The 17,732-nt window shown below is 43.7% G+C and overlaps 1 protein-coding gene across 8 annotated transcripts in view, besides 1 other annotated feature; it reads left to right on the top strand.

Moving 5' to 3' along the window:
- Positions 1-16,750, top strand: part of AGBL4 (AGBL carboxypeptidase 4) — a 1,501,444-nt gene extending 1,484,694 nt beyond the window's left edge. For 4 of the 8 annotated variants that reach the window (NR_136623.2, NM_001323575.2, NM_001323573.2 and 1 more), the window contains one exon: positions 4,968-6,407. Coding sequence is in view for 7 of the 8 variants with exons in the window: in NM_001323575.2 (NP_001310504.1) it covers positions 4,968-5,088 (121 nt within the window). In the remaining variant the exon portion in view is untranslated. Of the gene's footprint in view, positions 1-174; positions 4,377-4,967; positions 6,408-16,568 lie in introns of those variants that run through there. The other 4 variants (NM_032785.4, NM_001323574.2, XM_017002595.3 and 1 more) reach the window with 3 other exon arrangements.
- Positions 12,535-13,036: an enhancer, noted in NCBI's record as "NANOG hESC enhancer chr1:48991897-48992398 (GRCh37/hg19 assembly coordinates)". NCBI's record gives its function as "activates a minimal SCP1, AML or CMV promoter by ChIP-STARR-seq in primed H9 embryonic stem cells {active_cell/tissue: H9 hESC(primed)}" and the evidence as "EXISTENCE:reporter gene assay evidence [ECO:0000049][PMID:30033119]".
- Positions 16,751-17,732: the final 982 nt, after the last annotated feature.

Raw genomic sequence — 17,732 nt, 5'->3', positions numbered from 1 at the left:
AGTGAGGACAGCAGTCCTCACATACATGATTATTATGAGATATGTGTTAAAGCACCCAGCACAGTGCTGTCAGTACATGATAGTCTCCTTCCCTCAAGATGTAAAGATTTGGGCTGGAGAGGACACACCCTTGAGAAGTTCTACCTTGGGTCCTCTTCTGGGGCCAACTTGCAGGGCTGCTGAGGAGAGAAGGTCAGGAGGTGAGCCTCCATCCTGTCTGAGGACTTGGCCAGAGCCTGAAGCACTGGGCACTTCCATGACCACTGGCTGTGAACCCAGCTAGCATGAGAACAGTGACATCACATGGCATCTGGAATGTGCTGGCCCTGCCCTACCTCTTAGACTCATCTCCCACTCCTTCAGTGGTCCATCCTACTTGAAGGACATGACAATGCCCAACTCCCGGCTCCTGCCAGACCATTCTTTCCACTGACCTTTGCCATGACCTTGCTCATGTATGTGGGTGCCTCAGGGCCTTTGCACTGATGCACCTTCCTCCCTACGCTGTTATTGATAAAAACAATATAAATCACCGTTATTTATTGTACAGAGTACTTTGTGTACATTGTATTATTTATTCCTCATAGACATTGTATTTCCCATCTTACAAATGAGGAAAAGGAGACTAAGAAAGATGATGAGAAGGTCTGAGATGCCTGAGGTCAAAGAGTTTTTGGGAGAGCCAGGGTTTCATCCTAGGCTTTTATGATTTGAAAGCTGAATTGAAGTCTAGCTAAGGTTCACCGCAAGTAGAAGTTCATCAGCATGGGTTCAAATTCTGTCTCAGACTCATGTGAGTTATAGGATCTTAGGCAAGTTTCTTGGCCTCTTGAAGCTTTTTTCTACTTACCTATAAATGGGGATAATAACAACAATCTCTAAATATGGTTTTGTAGAATGGATACAAGCTTAGTATAGTGCCCAGCAGCTAGTAGATGCTCAATAAATGTTTTCATGTCCTCCAGTTTCTGGGTTGCAGTCCCAGATTTCCAACCAACTCATCAAGACCTAGGGCAAGTCTTTGACTTATTTGTTTGGGTGATGTCTCAGGGCCTATGTTCCACAATGCTATGAGTCATACATCTCTTAGCCCCATGTCATAGAGTCTTCATGACAAGGTATTCTGATACCCTGTCCCAGATTGTTTCTAAATCATCTAGGGTCTTTGTGCCCCACCACCATGGCATATTAGAAACTCTTGCAGGAGAATCACGTCTATTTCTTGTGCCCCTGAAGTGCCTGTCCTGCATTGTGCATACGTGCATGTATACATTCATTCATTCACTCAGGAAAAGCAACACTTTATACCAGGCCCCTGACAGGAGGGAAGTGCTGGGATGAGTGGCTGATTAAAGCATGACCCCTGCCTCTGAGGAGCTCACATCTAGAGGAAAATGCTCAGTTCATTCTTAGAAGTCATTCGTGATTGGTTAAAGTTCTTAAACGTTTAAAGCTTTATAAAACTCAAAAGAATTCTTAGAATCTCATTTACAAGTTAATTTGGGGATTGTCTCTTTCAGGTCCTCTGCCTAAATAAAATTATCTTGATCCTTAATCATTTTTTTCTTGCATGTTGCATTGTCATATACCAATGAAATGGTGCTGACACTCAGGGAGACCTTAGTGATCCTCTAGACTCTCTTCACGATACAGATGAGGACATGGGGACTTAGGGAGCAGAAGGAGCTGGTCAGAGTCATGTGGTCAGAGCCAGGACTGGAGCACAGGCCCTCACCCTGCCATGCAGTGTGTTCAGTGTCTACCAGTGAAGAGTTCGTGGAGATGGGAGAGGATGGAACCCCGACACGGATCTAAAGGACATAGGGGAGATCTCAGGGCCCTGAGTTTAACTGTTCATGGCACTTCCTTGCCTTGAGCTTTGGAGCCCTCTTCAGAAAAGATCTAGAGAGCTCCTTCCTCATGAGTTCAGAGTTTTGAGGACTTGAGCTAAATGCACCCACCTTTAAATTAAGAAAAAACTTAATAACCTCCTCCCTATGCACACACCTCTGCCTCATCAAACTGTGAGCACCATTTAGCTCTAGATTGGTCAGTAATCCTTTAAAAATGAATTCCCAGGAGGATACAAGACTCTGAGCTCTAATTTGGGATATAAATACTTCCCCTTTTTTGTATTATTTTCCACCCAAGCATCAAATAGTTTAAGTGAAAGAGCAGTCTGGCTTTAAAGGAAAATTACATGTTTTGACTCAAAACTAATCTTTGTTTTCTCCCATCTCCATGGATAATTACAATATGTCACTTTCTGCTCACACGCTGGCAGAAGCCTGCCGGCATCATTGGATACTGGGACACCCTTCAGATAGGGTCCCTCAGGAGGGGCAGCAATGTGGGCACAAGAGCTCAGGCTCAGGGGCATGGCATTGATGACCAAAGCTGAGGTCCCACATTTTGTTTAGCACACAGTGGTATAGTCGCAAGCCCAAAATGCTCCAGCAAAGGGGACAAAATCAGACAGGAAGAAGAAACAGAGCAGGTGTGCTTCTGTAGGTAAACAGAGCATGAGTGTGGCCTCTGAGCAAGAGGTGGACTCAGGCTTAGTCACAGGCTGGCAGGGCTGGCTCCATGGTGAGGTTATGATGTGTGTATGTGTGTGTAACGGGGCTTGTCAGCTCCTCAACACACTGGAGCCCACTACGTGCCAGTCCTTGTGCCAACTGCTAGAGGATTATAAATAGCCCCTGCCCATTGTGTGCTCAGATTTATGGAGGATAAAGGCAAGTACAAATGCAAACATAACAAACAATACTGAAAAGTGTATAAGTACTCAACTATGTATCAGATTATGCCTTCTCTCAAAAACCTTCTATGGCTCCCCATTACCTTTAGGGTAATGTTTCAACTCTTCTTGTTATTCAAGACCTTGGCCTACATTTTAAACTTCATTTACTGCTTTCTACCACCCCTCCACCCCTGTGAGCACCCTGTCCCTCCCACCTGATTTCTGTCACCTCGTGCCCTATGCTTCAGCCTGAACAAGTTAGCTGTTTTCTTGCCTCCATGTCTTTGTACATCCTTTTTCCTCTTGCTGGAATGAGCTCCCTTTCTGCTTGTAGATGGTGAGCTCATAATTATCATTCAAAACTCAGTCCAAATATCACAACCTGTTTCCTTGTCCATGTTCTCTGCCCGAGACAGAGCTGCTTCCTCTCTGCTGAGCTCCTAACTGTGTTTTGTACATACCTCTAGCATGGTATGTCCTGTGGTGTATTGTCATGGCTTCTATGCATGTCTGGCTTCTCTGGTAGCTTCAGTGTCCTCAGTCTTACTTACTTCTGTATCCTTAGTGCATGGTGCAGGGCCTAGCATAGATTAAATTCTAAATAATCCATGACTGTTACTGAGCTGTGGTAGAACTGAAGAAGCCCCCAAAATTACCGACTTCAACCCCTTCACACTAAAGAAAAGAAAAGTGAGACCCAAGCAGAAGTTCCTCTCCTACCAAATCTGGCAAGTATTTTGTAGCTGGCAGGCATGTCCAAGAAAACTTCAGAGAAGAAGTGGCATTTGAACTTGGCTTTAACAGACATATGGAATTTTGACTGATGAAATAGAAAGGGGATAAAGGGTATTCTGTATTGGGGAATAGAGTAGAGAACAGACAGAAGCAGGACCTAACAAGACACATTCCATGGCAGTGACAAGGCCAGAACGTTTAGAGTAAATGATATGGTAAAGATAAGACAGAAAGTTCATTTCTAGTCATCAAATACTCCTCAAGCACCTACTCCACACCAGACCTGCACTTGGCTCAGGAATTATAGAGAAAAAGCGTACACATCAAACTTATCGTCTCATGAGAGAAAGAGATGAGCAAAGAACAACCTAGAAAACAGCAGGGTGAGGAGCGATGAAATGTACAAAGTGCTACAAAGGCCTGGGGATGGGGGAGGCTTATTTTGTGGGAGTTTGTCTTCCAAAAAGAGGTGAGACTAGAGAGGTAGGGAAGGAAACAGCCTCTGCAGAGGCCTAAAGGTATGGGATGTTTTGCCTTCCAGTGGCTCCTTGCTCTCTCGTGTCCCCATCTTTGGTTGATGGCTTTTTGCCTTCCTAGCCCACCCTCCCTAAGTCCTTCTGCACATTCACTGTCCTCTCTAGCCTCTGCACAACTTATCCCCTTGCCACTATCCCCCCATGGCTGCCCCAGCTATGACCAAATCTGGGCTTCCCTCTTCTTTTTCCCCATAAAAACATACTTACGTCCTATGCTCCGTTTGGGTGTTAAAAACAACATCCTTCAATGACAGATGAATAGCACCTCTTCAACTTCCATTTACTAGAGCCTAAGAGGCAGGAAGGACATGAATTTTTCTCCTATTTTAGAAATAAAGAAATAGAAGTCCAGAGAAGGTAAGGAACTGCTTCAAGATGACATTGCCCGTAAGTAACATACCATGCATGTGCTCCAGGGCTGTATCTCACCTATTCTGGCAGCCTTGTTATGTTAGCAAGGCTCTTCAATGAATGTGGATTTTCAGGCAGTGAGGCTTCCTGGTGGAGGGGGCAGTATGTTAGGGCAAAGTGTCCCTTTATGTGCTGCCACCTATTCTGTCTTTACCTTATTCATGACTCATCAACAGTAAAGAAAAATGGGTGTACCAAGGTCAGAGCTTGATGGGTTACAAAAGCCACATCTTCAATTTGAATTCAAACTTAGTTCAAGAGATTCTCATATTTATGACACTAACCACTTCCTGACACATATTATAGTTATTGTTTTGTGTAGTTATTTTATACAATTATCCCCTCTCCTAAGCTATAAGCAACTTGAAGACAGTATCAATGTCTGCTCATTTTTGTCACCTTTAGTGTCTGTGGGAAGAAGACTAGGTTACTGTTCCTGGGAGGCTACAGTCCAGTGGGGAAGATAGACATGCACACAAATGATTTCATCACAGTGTGTATATGGGCTGTCTTCTCTCTTTCTGTTATCTCCCCCTTTGCAGGAAAGAAAAATCCCCTCCTTACAAGCACCCACTCCTGCGGGGCCCAGCCAGCAACTACCCCAACAGCAAAGGGGACAAGAAGAGCTCAGTGAACCACAAAGACCCTTCAACCCCTTTTTAAAGACACGGAGTCCTGGGAGGTCTTATGGGGACAGGAGCATGCATTTTCTGCTGGGGAATGAAATTAATCACTCTTCTCTAGCTTCCAAGGATTTGTGGATTAATGCATAGGCTAGTGAAAGGGAAGGGATACAATGAGAAACTTCATCACTGATTTTCCCTTTTTCCAATGGAAAATCAATTGTAAGCCTTCAGCTCAAAAAGCTCAGGAACAAAATAGGAGATCGGAACCAGGTGAGCACAGATGCTATTTTCTACAACATAGAGATCTTCCAAGATGAGGAAAACCTACACATCCCTTTTAAGAGATTTGACACATATCAGGTCAGTTCTTTCAAAGCCACTTTACATTTTTAAGTTTTATAGTTACTGCAGATGGTTACCTTTTAAATAGGCTTGGTTGTTTACAGCTTTAGAAATGCAGTGTTTGTATTTTCTGATCCAAAACAACAGCAACAACACATGCAACCAAAGGGCAAATGCATCCTAGGGAACAATGGGACAGAATTTTTGAAATCAACGGTGGACTTAAATATATGGTCACTGTATCTAAGCTGCATGCTTGCTGATTCCCTCAAACCCCAGCATGCAGATTTAGAAAACTGTTTTGAGAGCTGTTTCCCAATTTCCTCGGTAGTTTAATTAAAATTTTAGCTCTAAAGACAAAAAGCACTGGTCACTCATTTTAAAAGGTTTATTATGGTTAAGGTCTCCAGATCCCAGGTGACAGGGATTAAGCCTGGCCCCTGAAGATGTAGGCATTGCTAATCTGCAATGAGGAAAGGGTGATTGCCAGGCAAGGAAGATGCAAAAGACAGAAGGATGCACCCTGAGGCAGGGAGGAATGATAAAATAAAACAGTAGTAGCAATTCCCAAGGTGTGGCAAGCTAAATATTGGCATTTTTGTGAAGAGTAAAGTGCCTTTGTATGATGAATGGGTCCAGGGGGGTCTGCTCCCTTCCTGTCTGTGGAAACAGCAGGCTGAGTCACCATGACAGCCTGCTAATTAAAATGACCTCCCGGAAATGAGGATTAGAACACAGGGAGAGGAAGGGAGGCTCCAGGGAGGAAAATCCCTTAGCACAGAGCTCCACTAAAGCATTTTTTGTTTGTTTGTTTGTTTGTTTGTTTGTTTGAGTTGGAGATTATTGAAGTTTGCTACAAAAATCAAAAAGAAAACTTGTTCTCCTTTGCATGCTAGTTTTCAGAAATGATGACAAAGAGCCATATGTTGATTGGCTACAAATGTCATGTTGTATATACAGCTTCTCCCCTGGGTTCGTTTTGCCCAGAGGAACACAAATAAAGTGTTTTGTGCAGCTCCTCTGTTCCTCTGAGCATTCTTGGCACCTTTCCCTTTCAGTCCCCACTACTCAAGAACCAACAGGCAAACCCCAAAACTGATATAACCCTGACTTTGAGGTCAGGGACTTTGTTTTCAAAATAAGGGACAACAGTCAAGTCTTGATTTCCAGCAGTTCCCGTGTCAAAGTCCTGGGGAGTTTAATTGACTGCAACCAGCTTGGCATGCACCAAGAGTGTATCAGCCTTTTGGAAATGATAGCATCATTTTAGATAGCATGAAAAGAGGCAGATTGCATAAGATGAGAGAGGCAATAGTCTAGATCCATGTTTCCTTGGCCAGGTCACTTCCATAATGTGATCACATATTGGCCCATATAGTTAAAACTACATTGATTAATTGGATCATAGACTACACAAACAGCAGGTATAATGATTATTTAAGAGCAAAAACTTGGAGCCAGGCAACTTTGGGTTCTAATTCTGCATTCAAACCCTACTTCTATTTCTTTAATAAAACTGTGTGATCTTAGGCAAGTTATTTAACATCTCTAGATCTTAGTTTCCTCACCTGAAAGATGGTCATAGTAATATCTACCTTGTTATAATAGTTATGAAAGTTTAATGAACTTACGTGTGGAAAATGTAGGCAAAAATATTTATGTGCTCACTAAATGGTAGCTGTGATCATTTGGAATATGACTAGGAAAGTGAGGTATCTGCAAATCCTTCCCCATTAGAAAGGAATGAGGAGACTGGAGCAGTTTATTGTTTAAAATAAAAAATAGGCCGGGTGCGGTGGCTCACACCTGTAATCCCAACACTTTGGGAAGCTGAGGCGGGAGAATCACCTGAGGTCAGGAGTTCGAGACCAGCCTGGCCAACATGGAGAAAGCCCGTCTCTACTAAAAATACAAAAATTAGCCAGGCGTGGTGGCACGCACCTGTAATCCCAGCTACTCAGGAGGCTGGGGCAGGAGAATTGCTTGAACCTGGGAGGTGAAGGTTGCAGTGAGCCAATGAGCCATGATCATGCCACCGCACTCCAGCCTGGGTGACAGAGTGAGACTCTGGCTGAAATAAATAAATACATACATACATACATACATACATAATAAGAGGGAGTGGGAATAGGAAAGAAAGATCACAGTCTCCAAAAAGCTAAACAGACATCATTGGACAAAAGAAGCAAACTTGTTCTGTGCTGCCAAACAAGTTTATTACCTCTCCTGGATTTGGAGAGGTAATAACCAAATCCAGGGAGTGAGTCTCAGTAAGACAGATTTCTGCTCAGGATGAGGAAAACCTTCTAGTGAATTGAATTGCCAACCACTGGATGGGTTCCTTTGGAAGACCATGAACTCCCCATCACCACAGGTGTGCAAGAAGAATCTGAACGAACATCTGTCTGGGAGGAAATAGAGGGGACTCCCTCTCTAGGGGGATGCTGGGTTGGAAGCTGAATGCTCCGAAGCATCACCTCATGTCATTTCTCTGGACTGAAATGACATGGGACAGGATGTTACATTTCTGGATGTCAGCAAATGGAGTGTACAGTATAGTTAGTACTTAATGCTAGACACAGTGATATGAACTGTCTCTGAATTACAGCATATATGGACTCTGATAAAATTTCCCATTCCTTGAGAGAGAGAGAGAGAGAAAAAAAAAAGCTGGCTATAAGGCAGCCTGTAGGAGGGTGTGTTTGCAAGATGACTGTCTGCTTTTCCACATTGGCAGAGCAGAAAAAAAGGACTGAGCAAGAGCCCAGGGGTTGTCAGCAGCCCTCTGTGTGGTCTTGGCCTGCTTAGCTTCTCCTTAGCTTTCTTGAACAAGGTTATACCTATGACCTCAAGCTAGAGGGGAAAGGTTTTCAGCACTGAGATGGAGGACAGCACCAAGAGGTGTACAACCCGCCAGAGGCTACTAGCCCACCTGGCTCCAGCAGGGGGCGCACCAGCCTATCTTCTTGTCCAGCCAGGTCTGTCTCAGATTAGAGCCACAGGTGGGTGGAGCTGGCCACCAAAGCAGTGTTCTGTGCATTTCCAAGGAGACAGACAACTATGCAAAAAGTAGGGGTGAGAAGGAGAGGGATCATGACAGGTCTCAACCTGGCTCTCACACAACTCTCCATACTGATGCAGTGCTAGTTTTGCTCTGTATCAGTTCAGAGGTGCAGAGACAGGACTAAAAGTCTGTTTACCCTCAAGCTGCAGCAGACAAACTGGAGGTTACCCAGTTTCTTCGTTGCTAAGCCCCCAGCAGAGGAGGTTGGTGATAATGTTTGCTTTGCGGCAGCCAACAGTGAGCCTTTGTCTAGAAGCTTTTTCTATTGCCTTTTAAATGGAGGCGGGGCGGTAAACACAGAAAGAACTAGTATCCTTTCACTGTAACTCAACTGACACACCTGAGACCTGCCTTAGAGAACCCAACTCATTTTTCTACATAGTAAGAACAGAGCCAACTATGGAAGTGTAAGCTGATTAACATTTGTGCAGCATCGATTCATACATCCAGATGTTTACTGAACATATACTGTGTGTCAGGTGTAGTTCTAGATCCCTTTGTATCCATTGCCTTATTCAATGTTCCCAACAGTCCTATCAGGTAAGTATCATTTTCTACACTTCGAAGATGAGAAAAAATGAGAACCCTAAAGGTAAACACCTTTTTTTTACACCCATGTGGCTAGTGAGAACCTGGATTCAAACACTGCTCCCCTTCCACTACTTTGTGCTGGGCCTTATCCATTTGTCTCCAGGTAAAATCAGGTCAAAAAAAGAAACAGGTTAAAGCAGAATAACAAGTAAACAATGGCATCATTTAGAGGTAGTGGGGGATAGGGAGAGGGGAAGGAAGCATGTTAAGTTTACAGGCTGGGAAAAATGTGTAATGATTTCAGGACTTTTTAGCACTTGCTGCTGAAGCCCTGCCTTCTTCCTATCTCTCATTCCCACACACCTGTCTGACCTTCTTCTAGGCACTCCAGAGTCCTCCAGAGAGCAGCGTTTAGGCAAGGGGCCCATTTATCCCTTGACATGCAGAGGGCCCCTGGAATCTCAGCAGGGTTGTTGGACCCATCGTGACACTCTCTGGGTTACTGGCCCCAAGCAGATAATCTAGCTCTGGTTCCCTATCACTTCCTCCATCTGGGGTATGCGAAATAAGCCTACTATGTCCCTCATTTCTTGTTCGGAATTCTTCCTCTAAGTTCCTGCCTTCTGAGCACTAAAGAAGTCTGGTACCTTTTGGCTGAGCTCAGCCAAAGGGGCATCAGGGCCACAAAGCAGAGGGGAGACATAACGTAATAGGAACAGCCCGAGTTTAAAGTCAGGCCAACCTGAGTGTGAATCCCAGCTCTTCTGTTAAGCTGTATGGCTTTGGGCAAATAATGTAATCTCTTTAAGTCTCGGGATCCTCATCTGTAAAATGAACTGAATAATATCTACTTCCTATATTTATGGTGAGAATTGAATATAATAACATCTATAAAATACCTGGAACTGAGAAAAACTCTTTTCTCAAGCCATCTTCACCCCTGCTCTGCCTCTCATCTGCTTGCTAGAGTTGGAAATCCCTTCTCTAGAGCCAAAGCTTTTCTTCTCCCCAGATGACGTACAGACAGAAGTACAAATGCTTCTTGAGTAGAGGACAAGAGTGAGAGGAGTGTCCAGAAGAAAGGCAGTCACACTGAGGGATCAGTGTCAAGCCAGGGACCTAGGTTTTATTCATCTCTGTAGTCTTAGCACTTAACACAGATTACGTAGCAGAGTCTGTGCTCACTGAGTGTGGAATGAATAAATAGTGGGTATGGTGAGAGTGAGGTCACCCAAAAACCCTGAACCCTTGAGGGAGGGGAAAGAGGCTTTGGAAGTTGGGACTCTGAACAAATGGGAAGACAGTGTTGAACATGATATTCACCCAGCCTCATGTGAGGCTGAAATAACTAGACTAAAAAGAGAAGGGGGAAATAGATTCTACAAGATACCATGTTTTGTCAAAATCATAGCAAACAAATCTTACCAGGATACATACAAAACTTTTTTTATGTTACTTTGATTGGCATGCAACATCTCAGGGATCATCTTTATGAAGTAATCATACAGATCTTCTCTGCCAGCTGAAATTCAGGACTCCCCCAAGGCACTCACATATCTGTCTTCATACACCAAATTCAGGTGGTGTGCTGGTCAGGGCTTATTTTCTCAACTTTGCAGATGAAGAAATTCAGATTAGTGTGATTAATCTCATGCCCGTGGTCCACAGCCAGTAAGTAACTAGGACAGGATGTGGACCCTGGATACAAACACAACTCTACCACACCTCTCTGTCTCTCGGTTCAGCCCCAGACCTCGACACTAAGCCCGAACAAGTCAGAAAGTCATCCTAATGATGCCTATTATAACTCCTTAGTGCTTAAAATTTACTTGTTCCCCTAAAGACCTGGGATCTATTTTTAGCTGACCCCATGTCAATCTTAAGTCCAAATCTGCTTCTCTCCCTGGCATCAGCTGCCTTGGTTAATATTCTCTTTTTCCATCTAATTGCTCAGGTTGGAAGCCCTGCCCTTGCCTTAACTCCTTTATGTCTTTCTCCCCACACAGCTGACCAACCACCACGTCCCATTGCTTCTGCCTCTTTGGTGTGTCTGCCTTCAGGTAGTATTATGGAGTGACTCTGAGTCAGATAGACCTGAATTTTAATTTCAGCTCCACCGCTTGCTAATCATCTTATAAATCATTTAGAGCAGTTTACTTGCCCCATCTCTAAAATGGGACAATAATGCCTATTGGCAGGTTTGTTGTGCATTTCCCTCCCTCTATCCTTTCCATGCTTTCCCTCCTAGCCACTCCCACCATTATTTCCTACCTGGATTGCTGGAATGGCCTCCCTGTCTCCAGATGCTCTCCTGTTAACCCATTCCCTGCTTAGAAGCTTCCAGGAGCTCCATAAAACATGACCCCATTTTATGGTACTTCTTTCAAATTAACTGTCCAAGCCAGGAGCCTGGATATCATCCGACTTTTGTGTCTTTCACGCCCCATTTCTGTTCAATTGCCAAATCCCACTGGTTATTCCTGCTTGTTCTCTCTAATTTCCAGCCAACATCTCTGTTCCTCTTAACTAAGAAAATCCTTCTCATCATTCAAGACTTAGCTCATGTGTCCCAACTTCATGATATCCTCCCAGTCTTAGCAGTTGTCATTAATTGCTTTCTTTTCTCGGTTGCCCTAACACTTTGCTTATTCATCTGTTTATCAATTTTTTTTTTTTTTTGAGATGGAGTCTTGCTGTCACTAGGCTGGAGTACAGTGGCACGATCTCAGCTCACTGCAATCTCTGCCTCCTGGGTTCAAGCAATTCTCCTGCCTCAGCGTCCTGAGTAGCTGGGACTACAGGCGCGCACCAACACGCCCAGTTAATTTTTGTATTTTTTTAGTAGAGACAGGGTTTCACCATGTTGGCCAGGATTGTCCTGATCTCCTGACCTCGTGATCCACCCACCCCGGGCTTCCCAAAGTGCTGGGATTACAGGCGTGAGCTGTTGCGCCAGGCCTGTTTATTAATTATTTCACTCAGCTGATTGTCACCTCCCCCACTATCATTTAATGTCTTTGGGGGCAAAGTTCAGGTTTTATTTGTCTTCACACCTCCCATAGAACCTAATGGTTCCAGACAGGTCAGAGGCACTCAGTAACTACAGCAGAATAAAAGAAAGAATGAACAAAATCTCAAATCGAAAATTCTATCCTGACCTCACCCTGATAACTGAATCCTAATTATGGCTTTATCTTCCCAAAGCCTCAACCTCTCTGAGACATTCCACAGCTCAGATTTCCTCTATGGCTTCCTTTACTTACAGAATTAAGCTCCAACTCAGCATTAAAGGCAGCATAGTATGGTAGAGTGCTTTAGACTTAGAGTCAGCGGTCCTGGATGATCTTCATGGCCCCAGGGTCCATGGAGAGATGAAGGAGACAGATTTACTTAATCCTCCAACAGTTTCCTGAAAGCTAAATTCTTTTTCACAGCCCAAGGCAATTAGATCCTTTTTTCTATAACAATAAACATCATAACAATTGTTGCTGGTGTGGTTATAACTACTACTTCTGCTGTTGCTATTACTACTAGTAAAAACATTGCTGTTGCTATTACTGCTACTGCTGCTTCTATTACTAATCTACTTCTACTGTTATTCCCATTACTACTCCACTGCTGCTGCTGCTCCTACTACTATTACTGCTCCTGTTGCTGGTACTGCTAATCTAATGCTACTACCGCTGCTGCTACCACTACTACTGTGGATATTGCTGCTACTACTAATCTACTCCTCCTCCTCCTCCTGCCGCTGCAGCTGCTACTGTTACTGCTGTTCTGCCCTGACTGAGTGCTTACTTGGCTCCAGGCCCTGTACTGATTGCTTTGTCTTCCATGATCTGATGCAATCCTCACAACACCCCTATGAAGTAGGCATTATTCTCCTCATTTCCCTGCTAAAGACACAGAAGCTTAGGGAGACTAAGGAATCTGACCAAAGTTGTGCAGCTTGTTGTAAGTGGAGGAGCCTGGGAGTCATCAGACTCTAATGCTTGTGTTCTTTTCGTTCTCCCCTCCTCCTTTTTGTGTACAGTCCTAAGACTGACAATACAATAAATATTTAATGCTGGTTATAAAAAGCCTCCACCTCAGGGAGCTTACTGGTTTATGTTTGTTCCTGTGCATGACCTCATTTTGCCTGATTCCCCTGAGTCTTGCTTTAGGCGGTCTCCTTTGCAACTGGATGTCCCCATATGTCCTGTATGCCTGAGTCTCTTCCTTTGAAACAACTGCTGTGAAATGATTGTCTTAACAGGCAGGATTGGTGCTACCCTCAGAATTGTAACAACAAGCGAGGTGCTTTGCCAGGATATTAGGATGGAGTGGTGCAAAGGACGCCCAGCTCCTTCTATTAACCCACCTCTCCCACACTCCTGCGTTATAAAGAGGGTGCTATGTCACTAACTAGAGGGAGTTTTCCCAGGAAATATCCCAAAGTCTTCCTCTTCCTCTAACCCAAGCCACATTCTATCCTCAACTCCCAGACTCAAATTGTCAAGTCAAATGGATTTAAAGATGTAGCCGTTAGGAAACTGGGTTCTGCTCCCAGCTCTGATACTGCCTGGCTGTATTAGACATTAAGTAAGTCTCTTGTCCTGGATGGAGTAACCCCAGAGCTTCAACTGGTTTCAGTTTCTTACTGTTTGGTATGGGAACATAATCTTCAACTGACATAATCCTCAGCAGAAAATAAAAGAAAAAGAGAATCGTGAGGATCAACTGAGAAGATAAATGGGAAAGTATGGTATTTTGAAAAACATTTTCCAATATTTTCTTTCTTCTGAGACCTCATGAAGTTCCCTACTTCATCCATGCTTTTAACCTGAAGTGTCTCATCACTAATTTATCCAACACAAATAATGAAGCATCTGTGTTTGCTAGGCACCTCCCCATTCCTCTCTGCTGCCCTGATTTTTACTGATTCTACAAGACCCCTCCTTCAGGAAGTCTTTCCTGGTGCACTGGCCCTGAGCTTCTAGGGAACCACTGTCTAAACACATTTCATTTGACACTTGGTAATGGCTTTGGTATTTCACTTTTATTGTGTATCAGCTCTCTTACCAATTCAACTTTCCATTTTCTTGGACTGAGATGTTTAGAGAGGGCCAAAAACAGTCTTACTCATTTATGGGGCCCAAGAGCCTTAGCATAAGGCCAGAGACAGAGAAGCCATTCACAGAGAATTTGTGGCTGTTGCTGCTGCTGCTGGTGGCGAAAATGAGACTGAGGATGCCTGCTCCAAGCAGAACATTTTGGTGATGCTGACACCCCTCCTTTTCTCTCTCCCTCCAGAAGTTCACAAATAAAAGCAACCCTGAAACTTCTGGATAAAGTGGAGCAAACCTAGCTTATAGGCCCATATAGGAAGTTGTGAGACTTTAGGCTAATAGTATCCATAGGGCAAAAACAAAAAAAAAAAAAAAAGGAGAAAGCTGGGGAGAGACTACGACAGGTAAAAGAGATAAATTGACTATGATGTATTTGAATGTATGTGTGTGTGTGTGCTACCATTATGTGAACATCTTATATGAATAACTTCTTTATATTTGTGTGTGAAAATGCATAAGTTTGTTCAGTTGTGAATGTTTTTACTGAATATTAGATGACAGATCATTGTCAAATCTAAGCAGATTTTTTTACATCTACTCATAGTCAGAGGTCCTGGGTTAAGCTGCTGTTTGAAATTCTGTCTACTTTCTTGACATTTCATCCATATTAATGGATCACCCCTCTGCCCCAGCCTCCCAGGGACTGTGCTCAGCACGATGTCAGGGCCACCTCTCCTCTTTCCCAGTCCCAGTGAAGGCTGATCCTGGCTGATTCAGCCAAGCCAGTCCCTCTGGGGTGGAGAGCTCACCAAGAACCCCCTTTTCAGACTCTGTCTCCAGGTGATCTTGTGTTTAGGTGTCTTTTCTGTATTTCAGCTTTGTGTTCCTGTCTTTCTCTTTTTTTTTCTCTCTTCAGATCAGCCTTGACTAAAGGTTGAAAAACATTGCTTGTGTGGTGTTATGAAGAAGTGAGAGGTAGTTCTCCTTAATACCCCTAATACCTCTCCAAAGTGCTCCTGGAGCTGAAATTCCATGATTCCAGGGGGTTTGTTTCTGTTCAATTTCAGAAGCACTCACTGAGGGCCTGCTCTAAAATAGGTCGAATACCAGGTGGTGGTCAAAAGTGAAGGGCACACAGCTGTGAAATACAGTCACACACCACCTCACAATGTTTCAGCCAATGATAGACTACCTGAATGACAGTGGTCCCATAAGATTATAATACTATATTTTTATTGTACCTTTCCTATGTTTAGATTTTTTTAGATACACAAATGCAAGCATTGTGTTATAATTGCCTACAGCATTCAGTAGAATAACATACTTGACGGGTTTGTAGCCTAGGAGCCATAGGCTGTACCATGTAGCCTAGGTGTATAGCAGGCCACACCATCTAGATTTGTGTAAGTACATTCTATGATGTTCACACAATGATGAAATCACCTAACAATGCATTTCTCAGAACGTATCCCTGTCATTAAACAATGCATGACTGTACATTGCTCTGGCCTAAAGAGCAGCTCCACGGAGCTTGAGACTTTGCCTTTACTGAAAAGCAAATACATGGGGTGGGGACTTTCAAACATTAAGCCTGTTTGCCATACATGCCTTAATTCATTCTTTTCTAAGTTAAATATTCATTCTTTCTTTTATTCATTTATCCTTAGGGAGGCCATGTGGTTTGGTTGAAAGAGCACTAACCCAGAGCCTGGATTTAAGCCTAATTCAGCTGCTGTCATTTCCCCTCTTTGAACCTCAACTTCCTCACCCACAGAATGGAATTAAGCATTATTGCTGTTTCTAAATCACAGGATTACTTTGAGGAATTTCAGGGAAAGTGAATGTAGTGGGGAGAAAGAACTCACATTCTCTGAGTTCCTACTAGAGGCAGTACTTTGCATGCATCCATTCTGTAGCCATACAATAGGAAGGGGATGGGGACAAGTGAGGACATCAGGAGCAGGGACAAAGGCCTAGAAATGATCCATTAGAAGGAGTCTTAACTGGAAGCAGAGAGACCTGGAATCTAATCGCAATATGTTCCCAGCATTTATATAACTTTAGAAAAGTCACTCTCCCTCTCTAAGCCTCAGTTTTCCCATCTACAAAATGGAATCTGTTGAAGTAGGTGATCACTAAGGGCTCCTCCAGTTCTGCCATTTTGGGTCTCTAGGAACACCCCCTTCAACCCACTTGCCTACCCTAAAAATGATCTCACACTGACCCCAGTATGCATGTCAGGTTGCTAAACCCTAATGAGGACTAGGTAGTGAAGTTTCTTTCTTTTTTTTTTTTTTTTGAGATGGAGTCTTGCCCTGTCGCCCAGGCTGGAGCGCAGTGGCACGATCTCGGCTCACTGCAACCTCTGTCTCCCAGGTTCAAGCGATTCTTCTGCCTCAGCCTCCTGAGTAGCTGGGATTACAGGTGCACTCCACCATGCCCAGCTAATTTTTGTATGGTAGTGAAGTTTCATACTTAGTTCAGCAACTCTGGTGGTGATTCCCGCCTTCCAAAGATTCTTTCTGTCCTCAGACTTAATGCTGAACCAGAGACCTCTGGAGAGGTGAGACGAGCTGGTGACACCACGAACCTTGCATACAAGAGATGCAGTACTGAGGACCTAATTAACATCACCGTGCAGTAGGCACCATGGAGCACACTTGAGCTGCCAAAGAGAATAAATAAAGCAGTGTTTTATCTTAAGTGTTGATTAACAGTGAGTAATAAATAGACCGTGTCTTATTTACTATGCCTTCCCTGCACAGGCCTGCTATGGCTGACCTAGACCTTGTGAGACAGCATACCCTGATTTCAAGTGTGTGCATTATAAGTTGCTTGTCAAGCAGCTGGAGAACTGGGCTTCTGACTGGATGTTGTAATAGACTCATGCAGAGATGTGGGCACAAGAGTCTGGAATCTGATGTCTGACAGATCAAACTTAGAGTCCTGCTCTGCCACGATGTGGCCTTGAGCCATCCCTGTGAACCTGTTTACTCACTTTAAAAATGAGATTAATTAATGTCTGGGTTACAGGAAGGTTGTGAAGGGTGGATGATGAGAAGATATAAATAAAGACCAAATGAAAGTGTCCCACAGAGGGTAGGTATTGTTCTCAGTCACATCCACATTACTCTTACGCTTAGTATTTCTAAGTCAGTCAAACCAACACCCTGACATACATTATAAATGGGTAATGTGGCCCCTCATTATAACTGACTAATAATGTAACAGGGTCTTTACCAACATCAGGTGGTCATTTGTCCGCGTCCAAGACTGTCTTCTCTCTTCTCACTATAATATCAGCATTCATTCATTCCTTAGTAAGGTTTACCATGGTATCTTAGTTTGGGTTCTTCCAAAAGCAGAGACTGCAACAAGGAACTGACAGCGAGTAGTTTATATGCCAGGTGATACCAAGAAGCAGAGGTAATGGAGAGGCAAAAGAGAGACCAACAGAGAGAAAAAACAGGAAGGGTGTGTTAAAGAGCTAATTATCACTAAGGGGAAAGGGGCCTCGATCCCTCTCAGGACTTTCTAAGCAATGATTTAAAGACTCTCCTCAGAGTTGAGGATTGCCCCTTTGGGTGTGAATTCCCCCTTGCTCTTCTGCAAGGCTGATCCCTGAGGCAGCTGAGATCCACTTGATGAGGGATGCAGACCAGGTGCATGGAACTGTCCATCGCACTGCACTAAGTC

The sequence above is a fragment of the Homo sapiens genome, chromosome 1 (assembly GCF_000001405.40).
Source record: "Homo sapiens chromosome 1, GRCh38.p14 Primary Assembly".
NCBI lineage: Eukaryota > Metazoa > Chordata > Mammalia > Primates > Hominidae > Homo > Homo sapiens.
This window is presented reverse-complemented; position numbering and strand designations above follow the sequence as displayed.